The sequence below is a fragment of the Homo sapiens genome, chromosome 1 (genome assembly GCF_000001405.40).
Source record: "Homo sapiens chromosome 1, GRCh38.p14 Primary Assembly".
Classification (NCBI taxonomy): Eukaryota; Metazoa; Chordata; class Mammalia; order Primates; family Hominidae; genus Homo; species Homo sapiens.
In genome coordinates, this window is record NC_000001.11 from 20,690,971 (window position 1) to 20,709,184 (window position 18,214).

The 18,214-nt window shown below is 53.5% G+C and overlaps 1 protein-coding gene across 19 annotated transcripts in view, besides 1 other annotated feature; it reads right to left on the minus strand.

The window, feature by feature from the left end:
- KIF17 (kinesin family member 17) overlaps nt 1-18,214 on the minus strand; it is a 56,378-nt gene that overhangs the window by 29,341 nt on the left and 8,823 nt on the right. For all 19 annotated transcript variants that reach the window (XR_007062426.1, XM_047426155.1, XM_047426150.1 and 16 more), the window contains exons 5-6: nt 13,477-13,929; nt 7,409-7,518 (exon numbers count right to left, since the gene is read on the minus strand). Coding sequence is in view for 18 of the 19 variants with exons in the window: in XM_047426155.1 (XP_047282111.1) it covers nt 7,409-7,518; nt 13,477-13,929 (563 nt within the window). In the remaining variant the exon portion in view is untranslated. The remainder of the gene's footprint in view (nt 1-7,408; nt 7,519-13,476; nt 13,930-18,214) is intronic.
- Nucleotides 5,993-6,042: a silencer, noted in NCBI's record as "silent region_368". NCBI's record gives its function as "represses an Ori minimal core promoter by ATAC-STARR-seq in GM12878 lymphoblastoid cells {active_cell/tissue: GM12878}" and the evidence as "EXISTENCE:reporter gene assay evidence [ECO:0000049][PMID:35858748]".

An 18,214-nucleotide genomic window follows, 5' to 3' on the forward strand; every position in this document is an offset into this window, starting at 1 on the left:
GACACCACGCCCGGCCACCATCAGCTAATTTTTTAAAAAAATTTTGTAGGCCGGGCGTGGTGGCTCATGCCTGTAACCCCAGCACTTTGGGAAGCTGAGGCAGATCGCTTGAGGCCAGGAGTTCAAGACCAGCCTGGCCAACATGGCGAAACCCCGCCTCTACTAAAAATGCAAAAATTAGCCAAGCGTGGTGGCTTGCCTGTAATCTGTTACTGGGGAGGCTGAGGCATGAGACCACTTGAACCTGGGAAGTGGAGGTTGCAGTGAGCCGAGATCACACCACTGCACTCCAGCCTGGGTGACAGAGTGATACTCCGTCTCAAAAATAAAAATAAAACAGAAATAAATAAAAAATTTATAGAGTAGGGGTCTCACTGTGTTGCCCAGCTTGGTCTTAAACTCCTGGCCTCAAGTGATCCTCCCACCCCAGCCTCCCAGAGTGTTGGGATTACAGGCATAAGCCACCACACCCAGCCTCTCAGTGCTTCTTTTTTTTTTTTGAGATGGAGTTTCACTGTTGTTGCCCAGGTTGGAGTGCAATGGCATGATCTTGGCTCACTGCAACCTCCAACTCCCAGGTTCAAGCGATTCTCCTGCCTCAGCCTCCCAAGTAGCTGGGATTACAGTTCAGTTGTCCACCACCACGTCTGGCTATTTTTTTTTTTTTTTTTTTTTTTTAGTAGAGACGGAGTTTCACCATGTTGGCTAGGCTGGTCTCGAACTCCTGACCTCAGGTGATCCACCAGCCTCAGCCTCCCAAAGTGCTGGGATTACAGGCATGAGCCACCATGCCCAGCCTGCTCAGTGCATTTTTTAACAGACGAATAATATATGCATTTGTTTGCAATCTATTTTATCCACACAGCAATATATCATGAACACCTTTCCATGTTGGCAAATACCTTTCTGCCTAATGGTCCTCAACCCATCAATGACAAAATATGTTTTTATTCACCCACTTCTCTCCATCTTTGCTATCACTGCCAGCTCTCGTCCAAACAGCCACCTGGTTCTCACCTCTGTTCTCACTCTGGCCCCAACCTCTCTCTGACACAGCCATAGTGCCCACCCAGGTGTCTCCCCTGCTTAGGATCTGCTAATGGTATCCCATGTTCATGGATGAAATCTAAGCTCCTCAACTTGACCTGAGACCCAAGTGATTTGGCCCTGCCTCCCCCTCAACTGCTATGATGCACATTTGGGGACTCCTAGACACACCCACTTCCTCCCTGCCCCAAGGCCTTTGCCCTGCTCCCTGGCAAGCACCTTCCCAGGCCTCAGCTTAGTAACATCCCTCAGAGAGGCCTTCCCTGACCATACTCTCAGAAGCAGAAGGCCTCCTGCACTGCTCCCTGTCCCTTCCTCTATTGCTTTTTTTTTTTCCTCTGGAGACAGAGTATCGCTCTGTCACCTGGGCTGGAGTGCAGTGGCTCAATTTCAGCTCACTGCAACCTCCACTTCCCAGGTTCAAGTGATTCTCCTGATTCTCCTGCCTCTGCCTCCCAAGTAGCCTATTACATGTGCATGCCACCATGCCTGGCTAATTTTCGTATTTTTGGCAGAGATGGGGTTTCGCCTTGTCGGTCTTGCAAAGTGATGGGATTAGAGGCGTGAGCCACTGTGCCCGGCTTCTATTTCTTCTTAACACACTTCCTGAGCTTCTATTATGCTATTTATTTTCTGTGTGTGTGCTCATGAATTTGTTTTTACTGGGGTGTAGGGTTGGAAAATGCCACCTTGGGGGCATGCTTCTCCCCCAGGAAATGTTCATTCTGATCTTCCTGGGATGGTTTGTGGGACTCTTTCTTTTTTTTTTTTTTTGAGACAAAGTCTCACTCTGTCACCCAAGCTGTAGTGCAGTGGTGTGATCTCAGCTCACTGCAACCTCCACCTCCCAGGTTGCAGCAATTCTCCTGCCTCAGCCTCCTGAGTAGCTGGGACTACAGGCGCATGCCACCACGCCTGGCTAATTTTTGTATTTTTAGTAGAGACGGGGTTTCACTATGTTGGCCAGGCTGGTCTCAAACTCCTGACCTCGTGATCCACCCTCCTTGGCCTCCCAAAGTTCTGGGATTACAGGCATGAGCCATCACGCCTGGCCTGTTTGTGGGTCTTTTTCTTCTTCTTGGAGCTGATCTTGCTACCAGTGGCCTCTCCAGGCCCATTGCTGATGGTTTCTCCTTGGAAGAGAATCTCCTCTTTTTCTTGGCAATGCTCCTATTGCCTCTCCCTCAGGGTCACTAACTGTTTCCTCCTTGGATGATTACGTCCTCATCTTTTTTTTTTTTTTTTTAGACAAGGTGTCACTCTGTCACCCAGGCTGGAGTGCAGTGACGCAGTCTCAGCTCATTGCCACCTCAAGTTCCAGTGAACCCGAACCCCAACCCCGGCTCAAGCAATTCTCCCACCTCAGCCTCCCGAGAAGCTGGGACCACAGGCACCCACCACCACACTCGGCTAATTTTTTGTATTTTTGGTAAAGATGGGGGTCTCGCCATGTTGCCCAGGCTGGTCTCTAACTCCTGACCTCAAGCAATCCACCACCTCAGCCTCCCAAAGCGCTGGGATTACAGGAGTGAGCCACCGCACCCAGCCTCCACCTTGGGAAGACATGCTGCCAGCTGTCTCCCCAGGATCACCACTAGCCTGCTCCTCCTTGGGAAAGATTTCTTCTTCTTGGGTTTGGAGAGACGAGTCTCCCATTTTATTCTCCTGAGGAGACCCCTGGGGCTTTGGCTTTTGCTTCTTTTGGGGGTTTTCAACCATTTCACTACTCCAGGATGAGGACTCCTGGGAGACAGCCAAGGGCAGGACACACTTGCCCAGGGAAGGGTGTGAATGGGTGTGAATGGGTGTGAATGGTGTGTGAGCTCTCTCAGCAGCACCCTCCTTCCTCACAGCCCTCTACAGCTGCTGTCTTCTGACACCAGGGCAAGGGCCGCCAGTTGCTTCTTTTCCTTCCTTGGGTCTCTTCTGTCTCTCCAGCTTCCTAGTAATCTCAGGAGCTGCTTTTTCTTTCTGAACCATTGCTTCCTTCATGATAGTCTCTACTTATTTGATTACAGTTTATTGTTGGTCTCCTTGGTCTCCCCTATCAGAAGGCACCCTCCAAAGAGCAAGGACCATCCTGTCCTTTTTTTTTTTTCAGACAGAGTCTCGCTCTGTTCCCCAGGCTAGAGTGCAGTGGCATGATCTCGGCTCACTGTAACCTCCACCTCCCAGGTTCAAGCGATTCTCCTGCCTCAGCCTCCTGAGTAGCTGGGACTACAGGTGCACACCACCACACCCAGCTAATTTTTTATATTTTTGGTAGAAACAGGGTTTCACCATCTTGGCCAGGCTGGAAGGACCATCCTGTCTTGTAACCTCAGATCCTGCCAGAGGAGGGATTCAAGAAACACCTGCGGAGCCAGTAAATGGCAGAGCAGAACTGCAGGTTAATGGGCATGCAACATATTCAGGCCTCTGACACACATGGCTCAAGAGAAGGGCAAGGCATTTATGAATTAAAGATAGTCTGGGATCCTTTGTCTCCTGGAGCCACTGCTGACAGAGGTGCCTGCCACTGTAGTAAGCCAGAGAGAGGGGACAAGGACAGGGATGGCGTGGGCAAGCACCATGTCATACTCCCACCTCTCCAGATCCCTTTGGCAAATAGAAACTGGCATGGACAGCACTGATTTAGGCTCCTAGGGAGGGAGAGAAGGGGACGGAGAATAATTCAGATGTAACCACGCATTCTTTAGTACATTTTTAGATACACTTGAACCTCAAAGCAATGCCCACAGTGTTACTGAGGCCCAGGGAGGTTCCATGACCAGGCAGCTCCTCAGAGCCCTGCAGCCCTCTCCTCCACTGCCCCCTGCTCTCACTGCCCTCCTCACCAGCTGGCATCCCAGGGCCCATGACTCGAGTCAGCAAACATCCCTGACTCCCTCACCCAGCCCCTCTATTGTTTTCTCCCAGCACAGCCCTGACCCTGGTTAAACCCAGGCCTCACCTTAGCAATACGTGGATGGAAACACACATATATGCGCACACACACATGCAGGCACACACATGCAGGCACACATGTGCACACATGCATACACATGCACCCACAGACACACATGCACCCTCAGGCACACATGCACATGCACGCACACGCATACACACACGCACACACACGCACACACACATGCATGTGCACAGCACCACCAATCTCCATTCTTTTTTTAATTTTTAATTTTTTTTTTGAGTCAGAGTCTCACTCTGTCGCCCAGGCTGGAGTGCAGTGGCGCCATCTCGGCTCACTGCAACCTCCACCTCCTGGGTTCAACCGATTCTCCTGCCTCAGTCGCCCAAGTAGCTGGGATCACAGGCACGTGCCATCACTCCCGACTAATTTTTGTATTTGTAGTAGAGACGGGGTTTCGCCATGTTGGCCAGGCTTGGTCTTGAACTCCTGACCTCCAGTGATCCGCCCGCCTCGGCCTCCCAAAGTGCTGGGATTACAGGCATGAGCCACTGCACCCAACCCCATTCTCACTTTTAAACATGGGACCTGAATCTCAGGCAGGCGGGTTTCGACATGGCTGAGCCCACAGCCCCAGTCCTACCCTTTAGCTCTGTCTTCCCAACCCTCCTCTCCCCCCACATCCCCTGCCTGGTAAGTCACAGAGAACAGGGAGGTACAGGACTCCCTCACCTTCCCACCCACCTGGAGATCTACCCGGAAGCTCCACCTCCTCTGAACCCACGCCACCCAGCTCCAGGACCTTGTGCTTGCAATCCGCCCCCTCCTTCCTATAACCTCGACTTCTCCTTCTGTGCTGGATAATTCCCGACAGTCTACAACACATGCTCTCTTACTTCCAACATTTAAAGCATGAAAAACCCTTCCTTGGCCCCACATCCCCCTCCGGCTAGAGTGTCCAGCACCCAGCACGCGCTCACAATATGCCTGTTAAGGACTGAATGGCGGAGCTGACCCCCAGCTCTTGCTTGGTACATGATACACAGCCCGCCAAGGAGATGATGGCCCTTCATTTCATCCTCTTACATCCCTAAGAAGCAGCAGGAAATCCGCTATGATGCCTGTTCTGCAGATGAGACAGAGGCTCAGAGAGCTCAAACAACCTGCCCAAGGTCACAGAGCCCATAAGGATGGACTTGCAGAAGGCTGGACGGACCCTAGGAATCTTCTGGTCCAAACCCCTGGTTCAGACTGGGGACCGGAACCCGGCTCCTGGCCCGTGTCCTCTTCCCTACACAGAGGGGGCTCCTCCCTTTCCCTGAATGGTTCTGGAATACAAAGGGAAACACGGTCCCAGGAGCATAGCAGGTGCTCAATAAATATGAGAGTTGAGAAAAAGAACAAATGGCAGGCAGGAGGGACGCAGGGATAGCGGGGTGGGGGAGGGGCACAGACATCTTCAACGCTTCCTCCAAGCATGGCTCACAGAAGAAACCTCAGGGTTTCTTGGAATCCTGGTGGCGGTGGCGTCAGCCAGCACCACTCTGACGCAGTGTCCACTAGGCCGCCCCACGAGAAGGAGGCAGGCGACCCCATCCCCAGGGCAGAAGGCACCCCCATCCGTGGCACTCCAGGGACCCGCCAGGAACGGCGTCGCTACTCCCTGGTGACCACCAGGGGGAGGCAGTGCCCTACTTACTGGACAGCGGGGGCCGCCGGCCCCACCGGGCTTCCCGGGAAGGAAGCCTCCGTCCCCGTCCTGCACAGCCCGCCCCACCCCTCCATCTGTGACCAGAGCCCCCCGGGCTGTGACTCCGTGTGTGACTCCCAGCCTCCGAGCCCCGCTGTGTGACTCCATGCCCACTCCGAACAACAGCAGGCTGACTTCTCTGGTTTCTGCGGGCTTGTCTGAGCTCAGCCATCCCCCAGGGCCCCTCCTTGCTAAAGCCTCCCCGGGAGCCTCCCCAGAGCTACAGGAAGGGACCTGACACCCGGGCTGGAAACGGCAGTGGAGGGAGAAAGGCAGTGCCCGCTGCCGAGCTCCAGAGCCTGCAGGGGCGGACGGCGTTCACTGGGGGCACCATCGAGCCTCTCCCCAAACAGCACAGGCCCCGCCCGTCACGTGCAGCGCCCGAGGCTCTTGGATGGATTTCTCCCACGCCTCCGGCCCACAGGACAGAGATCTCCACAGTCCTTCTCCTGTCTGCCCCAGAGGCTGGGCCCCAGGTACCCACAGCCCAACAGGGGCTTCTGGGGCCTGAGGACGGACCCCAGTGGGAGGTGGTAGGTGAGTGGCAGGGGTCCAGCAGCGGATACATCCAGGCCTAGCCCCGGGATAGCTCGTCCTGCCTGGCATCAGGTTTCACATCAGGAAAAGCCAGGGTTCTAAAGGGACTATCAGGCCCGGCACAGTGGCTCACGCCTGTAATCCCAACACTTTGGGAGGTTGAGGTGGGAGGATCTCTTGAGCCCAGGAGTTCAAGACCAGCCTAGGCAACATAGAGACCCTATCTCTACAAAAAAATTTAAAAATTAGCCAGGCGTTATGACATGCACCTGTGGTCCCAGCTACTTGGGAAGCTGAGGTGGGAGGAGCACCTGAGCCAGGGAGTTTGAAGGTGCAGTGAGTTGAGATTGCACCACTGCACTCCAGCCTGGGTGACAACAAGACGCTGTCTCAAAAATAAGTAAGTAAATAAATAAATGAATAAAGGGACTGCCACATGTCAAACTCCACGGCATGCTCAGGTCTCAGGATGCAGCATTTAGGCGGGAATCTCTGGAAACCAACAGAGCGTGGAGTCAGGGATGGAGCCAAAGGCAGGAGTGGGGGGGCCCCCGCCATGCCTGGCTGTGGAAGTCCCGCTCTGGGGATCAGCTCCGCCTCTGGAAATCAGGCATCGTCTGACCCGCTGCTTCCCAGGGGTGTTGGGAGGCACTCAGATGAGAGGTGCCCCAGGTGACAGCTTTTTCCAGGAGGCCAACACCACACTCACCCGCTGGTCAAACGGGCTGCCTGGCTCTCAGACTTGTCGTCGGCTGCTGGGGGACAGACTCCTCCCCACCCTGACTGCCTCGCCTCTGCACAGGCCATTTCCACAGCCAGGGATGCCTTTTCTGCTTCCATCAATGCACAGCCACCCCTTCCTTCAAAACGGAGGGGAGACCACGCCCCTGGAGACACCTCCACACCCCTCTGTTCTCACCACGCAGGCCCTAAGGCGGCATTGAATGCAGTCTGGAGTCAAGAACTCAAGTTCAAATCCTGGCTCAGACTCTTTGCTGTGTGACCTTGGGCAAGTCCTGGCATCTCTTTGAGCTTCAGCTTTCTCAGGACCAAACCCACGGTGAAGGTACGGTGATATCGCGTTGGACCCCAGCGGCAGCCCTGCCCTTCCCGCTGGGCCCCACCTGCCTGTCCCTTCTCCATGTTCCCACCCGCTTGGGTCTCACCTCCCGGATCAGCTGCTTCTCGGCCTCCACGTCATGCTGGATCACAGGTTGGGGCAACAGCTTCTCCTCCACCTGCACAGGGTCTGGGGGCACCTGCCTGGACAGCAGGGCTGGGGGAGAAACAGAAATTAGCAGCCAGGATGAGGGGCACATTGTGTGCAGGAACTAAGCAGAAATCTATAAAAAGACGACCTCATGGTCATTCAAGAAGACTTTAAAGTATTCAGCTTATTTCAAACACATCTCCATGTAAAAGGCTGTTAGTCATCCAACAAATATTTATGGAGCACCTCGATGTTCCAGACTCTGAGGATGCGGCATTGAACAAAGACAAAAACTCCACACCCACGCTGAGTTTTCCACTGGGAAAAAGAGGAGAAAAGCAGATGGACAAGGTGAAATGCCTCGTGGTGGTGTTCGAGGCCCTCTCCACTCCAGCCCTGCCTAAGCACCTCCCATCAAAATAAATAAGCAAAATGGGTAACACGTTACAAGGCGATGTGTACTGAGAAGAAAAAGCAAGTAGGGAGGGTGCTTGGGAGTCAGAAGCAGTTAGAAGGGTTGCAATTTTTTTACTTATATATTTATCGAGACAGGGTCTTGCTCTGCCACCCAAGCCGGAGTGCAGTGGTGGGATTATAACTCACTGAGGCCTCAAATTCCTGGGCTCAAATGATCCTCCCACCTGAGCCTCCTGAGTAGCTGGGACTACAGACACACACCACCACACCCAGCTAATCTTTTATTTTTTGTAGAGATGGGGTCTCGCCATGTTGTCCAGGCTGGTCTCAAACTCCTGGGATCAAGCAATCTTCTCATCTCGGCCTGCGAAAGTGCTGGGATTACAGGGGTGAGCTGCCTTGCCCGGCCCAAGTTGCCATTTAAATAGTGTGTTAGGCTGGGCACAGTGTCTCATGTCTGTAACCCCAGCACTTTGGGAGGCCTAGGCGGGTGGATCACTTGAGGTCAGGAGTTCAAGAAAAGCCCAGCCAACAGCCAACATAGTAAAACCCCGTCTCTACCAAAAAAATACAAAAATTAGCTAGGCATGGTGGCGGGAGCCTGTAATCCCAGCTACTCAGGAGGCTGAGGCAGGAGGATTGCTTGAACCAGATGGGCGGAGGTTGCAGTGAGCTGAGATGGCGCCACTGCACTCCAGCCTGGGCGAAAGAGCAAGACTCCGTCTCAAAAATAAATAAATAAATAGCTTATTTATTGAAGGCCTTTTAGTCAAGGCATGAAGGAAGCAGCGAGGAGAGGGCGGGCACAGGAGGAGCTTGCTAGACAGGAGGCGCTTGCTAGACAGGGGGAGCTTGCTAGACAGGGGGAGCGGTGAGTGCGAGGGCCCTGAGGCGGTTGTGAGACTGCACTGTTCCTGGCCCAGCCAGGAGGCCAGTGTGGCTGGAGGGGAGGGAGTGATGGGCAGGACAGGTGGAGAAGTCCAAGAGGGATAATGCCAGATTGTGACAGCTGTGGAGGGCCGGGTGAGGGCTTTGGCTGTGACTCTGGGTTGAACGAGGCAGGTGTGCACAGGGCAGTCACAGGCCTTGCATTTGAACAGGCTCTCCCTGGCTGCTGCGTGGAGAGTGCACTGAGGGGAACCAGGGTTAGGCACGAGGAGACCCGTTGCGGGGGCGTGCAGAAACTCAGTCTGGAGGGCAGCAGTGAACTGGCTGTAGCCAGTTTTTGTTTTGTTTTGTTTTGTTTTTTGAGACGGGGTCTTTGCTCTGTCGCCTAGGCTAGATGCAATCGTGTGATCTCGGCTCACTGCAACCTCCCTCTCCCAGGTTCAAGTGATTCTCCTGCCTCAGCCTCCCGAGTAGCTGCGACTACAGGTGTGCGCCACTACGCCTGGCTAATATTTTCTATTTTAGTAGAGATGGGGTTTCACTATGTTGGCCAGGCTGGTCTCCAACTCCTGACCTCAAGTGATCTGCCCACCTCGGCCTCCCAAAGTACTAGGATTACAGGCGTGAACCACTGCGCCCGGCCAGGCTGTAGCCAGTTTTGAAGGTGGAGATGGCAGGATCTGCTGACCAACTGGATGTAGATTTGAGAGAACGTGAGAAGCCAGGGGCGACCCCAAGTGTCTGGTTTGAACACCTGAGTTGCCTCTGTCAGCTGTTGGGGGGAGCTGCAGCCTAGCAGATTTGGGGGCCCATCGAGTTGACAGTGGGATATGTTGGGTTTGAAATGCTTATTACACAGCTACAGATTCAAGTCCGGAATTCAGAGGACATGGTATAGTATGTTTTACTTCTTTTCTACATTGCTTTATGTTCTATTATCTTGAGGGACTTGCTGGGCAGGGTTAGACTGCCCTTCAGGGCGAGCGAATTCCTAGAAACCGTAAACCACGAGTCAGTGAGTCCATCTTTGGTATATAAACCAGCCGAACCCGAGTCCACACCCCAAGCCACCTGCTGTATGTAACTCTCACACCAAGCCAAGATTCCCCCTGCCCTGAACAGGCCCAGGGCCAGGCAGAGACAACCAGGAACAGCCCCTCAACCCCAACGCCCACCAGAATTATTCAGATCAGCTGGTCCCAACCTGCCTCCCAGGCCTTGCTGTGTGTTTCCCACAGGAAGCCCAGTAAAGGCTGTGGCCCGGGCCCCCACTCCCTTCTCCCTCCAGACCGATGCTGGTGCTTCCCCATGTGTGTGTGCCTGACCCCGGGTTTCCAGGAGCACTGTGAGTCACGATGGGCTTTCCTTTCAGTGGCGCGGATCTCTGTGCTGTCACCCAGTCACCTTTATAAATTAAGACACGAGGCCAGGCGAGGTGGCTCATGCCTGTAATCTCAGCACTTTGGGAGGCTGAGGCGGGCGAATCACGAGGTCCTGATTGAGACCATCCTGGCTAACACGGTAAAACCCCATCTCTACTAAAAATACAAAAAATTAGCTGGGCATGGTGGTGCGTGCCTGTAGTCCCAGCTACTTGGGAGGCTGAGGCAGGAGAATCGCTTGAACCCGGGAGGTGGAGGTTGCAGTGAGCGGAGATCGCGCCACTGCACTCCAGCCTGGGCGGCAGAGCAAGACTCCGTCTCAAAAAAAAAGACACAAACACAAATTGCATGGCCAGGCTGCAGGGTGCATTTGGGAAGTCAGGAATGCAGAGGTGGTGATAACACCAGGGACCCAGGCGAAGCCACCTGAGCAGCGAGTGCAGAGAGAGGACAGCAGAGGACCAGCCTGGGACAGCCCAGGGTTAAGAGGCCAGGGAGCAGGGACGACTCGCCCTTGGGAACTGAGGAGAGGTGGGTGGGGAGGCAGGAAGGGAGCCAGGGCAGAGGGCATGTAGGAAGCAAAGGTCTCATGAAGGGAGGGGATCTGCTGAGCCAACTGGTGCTGAGACGGCAAGGTGAGGCCTGCCCCAGGACAGTCACCGGGCTCCACGACAGGAGGCCATCGGTGACAAGGACAACGTCAATGGGCCAGGACAGGGCCTGCCTGGGTAGGGGCAAGAGAGAGCAGAGGGAGAGAGAGTGGGACCAGTAAAAGTAGACAGATGTTTCAAGTTTTGTTGAAAGGGAAAAAGAGGGATATGCTAGAGGGAGAACCAGGGCTAAGGGGGAAATGTCTAAAGTGAGTCCAGGGAGGGGCAAACACAGGGAGCTTTGGGTCAGGCACGCCTGGTCTGAAGGCCCAGCTCCAAAGTGAAGGCCGCATGCATTGTCTCTGGAGCCCACCGTGCCAGGCCTCGTGCTGAGCCCACACATGCATGACCTCAGGCAATTTTCCCAGTTGCCTCACAGCACACACAAGGCAGGTGTCGCTATGATGTCCCCTTTACAGATGAAGAGACTGAGGTTCTCAGTGGCTGAGTTGCTTGTCTGAGGAGCTGGGAGGGAGCTGGTGATAACTGCTCAGTGCTCAGCTATCCACCCAGCACCACCTCAGTCATGCTGCTGGCTGGGCTCCTTGCTCCTAATCCAGGGAGAAGGGATGCTAACAGCTATCCTGGGGGCTGCCTCCATCACCACTGGAAGGACTGCACAGGTGTTAGCTGCTGGGTGCGGGGGCCGCGGGCCGAGCCTCCCCCACTCCCTCCTGGTACCCTCACCATTCTTGTCTTCCCCCTTACCAATCTTGGGGGTGAGTAGGGTTGGGGTGAAGAGTAGGGAAAGAGGAGGAAGGCAGATGGCTGAGGTGGAATGCCTTGCAATGGTGTTCAAGGCCCTCTCCACCCCAGTCCTGCCTGACCACCTCCCATCACCCCTATGCCCAAGGCAGCCAGCAGAGGGCTTTGTAGTTCCCCAAATGCACCTTAGAGTTTTATGCATCTCTGCACACACTGGACACTCTCATCCTAACAGGGAAATTTCTCCTCTTCCAAGACTGCTCAATTACTGCCTCCTCCGGGAAGCTTTCCCTCACTGACCTTATCCCACCCACAGATAGACCTGGCTGACCATGCACTCCTCTCTGCCCTGTACAGCTGTCTGCCCTAGAGTGTGTCTCGTTGCATGTGATGGTCCATTGGAGTGTCCTTCTTCCTCAGGAGATTAGGTACCCCACGAGGCACAGCCTGCATCTGATTCATCTCTGTGTATCCAGTACCCAGCACGTGTCCACACAGAGGAGCAGCTCAGGGAACCTTCAGTGGATAGATGGGTAGGTGAGTGGAAAAATAGATAAAAGAATGGATGATAGGATGGAGTGAATGAATGGGTGGGTATATGGATGGTAGGGTGGATGGGGTGGGTGATTAGAATGGGTGAATGGATGGGTAGATAAAATGAATGGAAGATGGGTAGGTGGGTAGATAGAAGGAAGGATGGAGATGGATGGATGAATGGATGGACGGATGGATGGGAGATGGAAGGATGGAAGGAAAAAAGGAAGAAAGGATCTCTGGATGAATAGATGAGTGGATGAAAGGAAGATCGATGAATAGATGGATGCATGGACAAATGGATGGAAGAAAGGATCAGTGGATGAATGGATGCATGGATGGATGACAGATGAATGGATGGAAGAAAGGAAGGAAGGGTCAGTATGGATGGGTGGGTGGGTGGCTGTGTAGATGGATGGATGGAAGGAAGAAATGGATTGATGGAATGGAGGGAGAGATGGGTAGATGGGAGGATGGATAGATGGATAGATGGATGGATGCATGGATGGATGGATGGATGGATGGATGGATAGATGTATAGGTGGGTGAGTGGGTGGATGGATGGATGAGTGTGCAGATGGATAAGTAATGGGGTGGGTGGGAAGGTGGGTAGGTGGAAGAAAAGGTGGGTGGATGAATGGGTAAGTGGGAGGATGGACAGATGGGTGGATGAGCGGGTAGGTGAATGGGTGTGTGTAGAATGAATAGATGGAGAGGAAGGTGGGTGCGAGGGGGATGAATGGACAGACAGACCCAAGTATTTTGTGTTCCCTTCCCCAAGAGCTTCTGAGATAAGAAAATCTTAAGAGTCCTTCACAGCTACTCAGAAGGCTGAGGCAGGAGAATGGCGTGAACCCGGGAGGCAGAGGTTGCAATGAGCCGAGATCATGCCACTGCCCTCCAGCCTGGGCGACAGAGCGAGACTCCGTCTCAAAAAAAAAAAAAGAGTCCTTCAGTTCCAAAGCCCCTTCAGGCCAATGCTCCAAGTGTGGATTTCCACCTGCCAGGTGACAGGCAAATGCCAGGGCGCAAAAGCTGCAGTAACAAGGTGCCTGCGAGGAGCAGGTGTGGCCGTGGGGAGTGAGTTGCCAGCTGCTGAGCAGCGAACACGCATTGCGACAATGCCACAGACAGCAGCAGACGGGGGTGTGGTGGGGGGTGTGGTGGGGGTGGGGGGGATAATGGATGAGCAGATGAGAGGCGGGGAGTGGGCAACAGCCTGCGTCAGATGGGACAGGCCAGACGGACTGCCCTCCTCCCAGGACACTGACAAGCAGATACCATCTGGGCCGTCTCCAACCAGGGCCCTGCGCTCACATGGGGCTGAGGGGTGGGAGGATGCTGCTCCCACTGTCTTTTAGGTGGGAAGTTGGAGGCGAGAAGACAGAGGGAAGGAAGCTTTCTCCTGGGGACCTGGCCCTCCCGCCACTACCCCAACGTGGTCCCACCTGACAGGCTGCTGGGGCTCATCTGCTGTGTCAGGATGGCCTTGAGCTTCTTGATCTCCTCCTGGTACTCGCGAAGCAGCGCATCCTTGGGGTCCTCATTGATGCGCGGCTTGTTCCTGATGTTCTTGGCCCGGTTGGCGTAGCGCAGCGTGCTGAGTGTCTCATCGTAGTTGTTGTCCGCAGGCGACAGGCAGGCCACCATGAGCGTCTTGGTGTTGCCGCCCAGTGAGTCCTGCAGCAGCCGCGTCAGCTTCGAGTCACGGTAGGGGACGTGCTTACAGCGCCCGTCCACCAGCGCCGAGATGACATTGCCCAGTGCCGAGAGCGACAGGTTGATCTTGGTGGCCTCCTTGAGCCGCTCGCCCGTGGCCCCGGTCTTGGACTGCCGCTCGCTGCCCGCCAGGTCCACCAGGTTCAGCTTGCCCGCCCGGAGGTGGTCCTTGCCCCGCTCATCTGCACACAGACCAGGCAAAGTGGCGAGGGCCTCGGGTGAGCCCTATGTATCGAGGGCAATCAGTGCCAGGCACTGGGTGCTCAATGCCCACCCACCGAGGGTTCCCCTCAGCTGCACAGGAGCCCCAGGAAGCAGGTGCTATTATTGGGTTCATCTTACAGATGGGTAGACTGAGGTTCAGAGAGGGCATGGAACTTGTCCAAGGTCACACAGCTGCTAAGAGCTATAGCCACCATCAGAACCCAGGGCAGGCTGTCTCCAGGAGCAGGGCCTGGAGTTGCAGACCATTCTGAGTGCAATAGGGCCTCTGGCTGCCACAGCAGCTCCCGAAGGCTTCCTGCAAGGTCAAGGTAGAGAAGGGCAGGGGTGTGGGCTGGATCACCAGGGAGTGATGTCATTCAAAACAGAAAACATCTGCTTTGGAGACTCCCAGACCCGGTTCCCAACCCAGTCGTGTCTTCTCCTTGCAGTGTGGCATTAGCAGAGCCACCTACCTCCCAGATTCTCAATTCCCCACATCAACAAAATGAGACTACCCATGGTTCCCCATTAGGGTTTGTGAGACAAAGCGGCAGATGTTAGAAGCCACATTTGCTCTTTTCCGCTTGCCAGCATAATCAGCTCACAAAGCCGCTGCCTCTGTGCCGGCGCGCAGAACTGTGCAGAGCTCCACAGACACGCTTTGAAGACAAAACAGGATGGAGTCTACGGTCCCCCATGTCTGTCGCTGAGTCACCACATCACTTAAAGACAGAGCCTAGGCCATGCCTTTTCCTACACATGAGATAATGTCTGCCGGGGTTCGTGCGGAAGCCTCTGGAATCTATCACCAGATGTGCTCTTGCACCCAAACCTTGATGTGATTCTGAGCAAGTCAGATGTGATTCTGCAGGTGCTGAGTCTTCACCACCTGTATATAAACTGTGAACTGAAATACTGACAGAGCCGCTCTGGGCTGTAGGCCTCAGTCTATAATCCTCAGTAGGATGTCTCTTTTTTTTTTTTTTTTTTTTTTTTTTTGCCTTTGGGACAGGGTCTCACTCTGTCGCCCAGGCTGGAGTGCAGTGGTGCAATCCTAGCTCAATACAGCCTCGAACTCCCAGGCTCAAGCAATCCTCCTGCTTCAGTCTCCCGAGTAGCTGGGACTGAAGGCGTACATCACCACGCCTGGCTAATTTCTTTCTTTTTAGAGATACGGTGTCCCTATGTTGCCCAGGCTGGTCTCGAACTGCTGGCCTCAAGTGATCATCCTGCCTTGGCCTCCCAACGTGCTGGGATTACAGGCATGAGCCACTGTGCCCAGACTTGTTGATTTTTCTTTAGTTGACAGGTTGGTGGTCTGGAGAAGTAAGGTAAACAGACAGCGCATTCGTAGCCAGCTGGTTCTTTAGGCTATTAAAAAACAACAGGCTGGGTGCGGTGGCTCATGCCTGTAATCCCAGCACTTTGGGAGGCCAAGGCAGGCGGATCACCTGAGGTCAGGAGTTCAAGACCAGCCTGGCCAACATGGTGAAACCTTGTATCTACTAAAAATACAAAAATTAGCCGGGCGTGGTGGCACATGCCTGTAATCCCAGCTACTCAGGAGGCTGAGGCACAAGAATTGCTTGAACCTGGGAGACAAAGGTTGCAGTGAGCCGAGATTGCAACACTGCACTTCAGCCTGGGCGACAGAGCAAGATTCTGTCTCAACAACAACAACAACAACAGGCCAGGGGCAGTAGCTCACACCTGTAATCCCAGCACTTTGGGAGATGGGAGGATTGCTTGACCCCAGGAGTTCGAGACCAGCCTGGAAAACATGGCAAAACCCCGTCTCTACAAAAAAAAGTATAAAAATTAGCAGGGTGTGGTGGTGCATGCCTGTGGTCTCAGCTACTTCAGAGGCTGAGGTGGGATGATCACCTGAGCCTAGGAGGTTAAGGTTGCAGTGAGCTGTGATCATGCCACCGCATTCTAGCCTGGGCAGCAAAATAAAATCCTGTCTCAAAAAAAAAAAGAAAGAAAAGTAAAAGAAAACAAACAAACAAAAACACCACCAAAAACAGCTGGGTGTGTAGTGTCGTGTGCCTGTTGTCCCAGCTACTCAGGAGGCTGAGGTGGGAGGGATGCTTGAGCCCAGAAGTTCAAGGCTACAATGAGCTATGATTGCACCACTGCACTCCAGCCTAGGTGGCAGAGTGAGACTCTGCCTCTCAAAAAAGGACAGGAAGGAACTTGGTGCTGCCTCTTTGGGAAGCTCTTTGCAGAACGGACCAGAAGCCTTAACCACGTTTGTTATCTTTGCTCCAGGACTCCATTGCAGGGAACCGAGTCTGAGGAAATGACTCTCAGATGAGAAAAAGCTTTGTGCACACAGATGTCCATCGTGGCATGACTTGCAGCACTGGGAAACTGGAAACCAATTGTCAAGGACCGGTTGGAAAATGGCATGAGCCAGGCCACCACACATGGTCATGAAGACACGGTGACAGTAAAGTGCAGAAATGCTTAGTGACAGCAAGGGAGATGGAACCAGGGGAAACCTACATGGCGTAAGATTTCAGTTATGTTTAAAACATTCACAGGAAAAAAGGATCAAAAGAAAATATGGGCTGGGCGCAGTGGCTCATGTCTGTAATCCCAGCAGTTTGGGAGGCTGAGGTGGATTGCTTGAATCCAGGAGTTCGAGACCAGCCTGGGCAACATGGCGAGATCCTGTCGCTACAAAACATAAAAATTAGCTGGGTGTGGTGGTGCATGCCTGTAGTTCCAAGCTACTTGGGAGGCTGAGGTGGGAGGATTGGTTGAGCCTGGGAGACCAAGGTTGCAGTGATCTGAGATTGCACCACTGCACTCCAGCCTGGGCAACAGAGCTGTCTCAAAAAAAAAAACAAACCAATGTGTATGTGTGTGTGTGTGTGTGTGTGTGTGTGTGTGTGTGTGTGTGTGTGTGTATAAAAAATATATATGTATATATATAATATATACATTTATATATAAATAAACATATAAAGAATTATAAATATAAATAATTATTAGATATTAATATAATGCTTAAATGTTAGTGGTATTTAGGTGTCAGAACTATGAGTAACTGTTCCCTACCATTCCCTACTTTACCATCATCACTGAGCTCACATTATTTTATAAGGTGAATGTGCAACCAGCCTGCCTCATCCTTCAAATCCTCCTGCAAAGACCAAGAGGTGCCCCCTAAACCCGCTCCCTCCTCCTCCCTCCTGATCTGTCCTCAGTTGCCCTGGTCTCTGCCCCTCCCTGAGCTGCAGTATTGAGGCTGTGACCACTCTGGTCTCAACCCTCCCTATATCAGCATCCCCGGGACACTCAGACTCATGGCCTCATACCTAAGCAAGCACTGGGGCTTGGCCCAAGGCCAGGTCACCACACCAGCTGGGCAATGCGTCCAGGAGGTTCCATCTACTCAGGCCTTGACCCTGGGTAGTGCAGTGGTGCGATCTCAGATCACTGCACCCTCGGTCTCCCGGGCTCAACCAATCCTCTCACCTCAGCCTCCCAAGTAGCTGGGACTACAGGCATGTACCATCACACCCAGCTAATTCCTGACCCTGATCCCTGGGTCAGGGATCTCTCCAGAATTATGTTCCCAGTTGGGCTGAGGCCACCTCCTGCTCCACTGCTCTTTGGAGTTCTAGTCATGATGGACCACAGCTTGGAGGCAGCTGCAGCATTCATGGGAAAACCCAGACATCACGGAGACCCGGGTTCAAATCCCAGCTCCACCAATTAGCGGCGGTGAGACCTTGAACAAGCAAATCACTTTACCTCTCAGAGCCTCTGTTTCCTCGTCTATAAAATGAGGATTCTAGTGCCTGTCTCTAAGACTGTCGTGAGATTTAAATGGAATGAAGGGTATAAAGGGTTTGGCACTGCAGATGGCCAATGGGGCCCCCAAATAAACATGGATTTCTTTCCTTCCTCTTTGCTTTCTCGGCAGCATTTCCAGAAAAAAATAATAATGAGATGACTGAGGAGTAGAGAACGTTACAGAGGGAGAGGAGAATCCACAAGGTTGGAGTGACACACACTCCAGAGGAAGACCCTGGGATAGAAGCCAGGCTCTGACACTAGTTCCTAGTTGTGTGGCCTCAATTTCTTCCTCTGTAAAATGGGGATGATTCAGTATCCACCTCATGGGAGTGCTGTAGGAGTAAGTGAGATAATGCACACACATTGCCTGGCACACTGGCCGGGCGCAGTGGCTCAAGCCTGTAATCCTAACACTTTGGGAGGCCAAGGCGGGAGTATTGCTTGAGCTCAGGA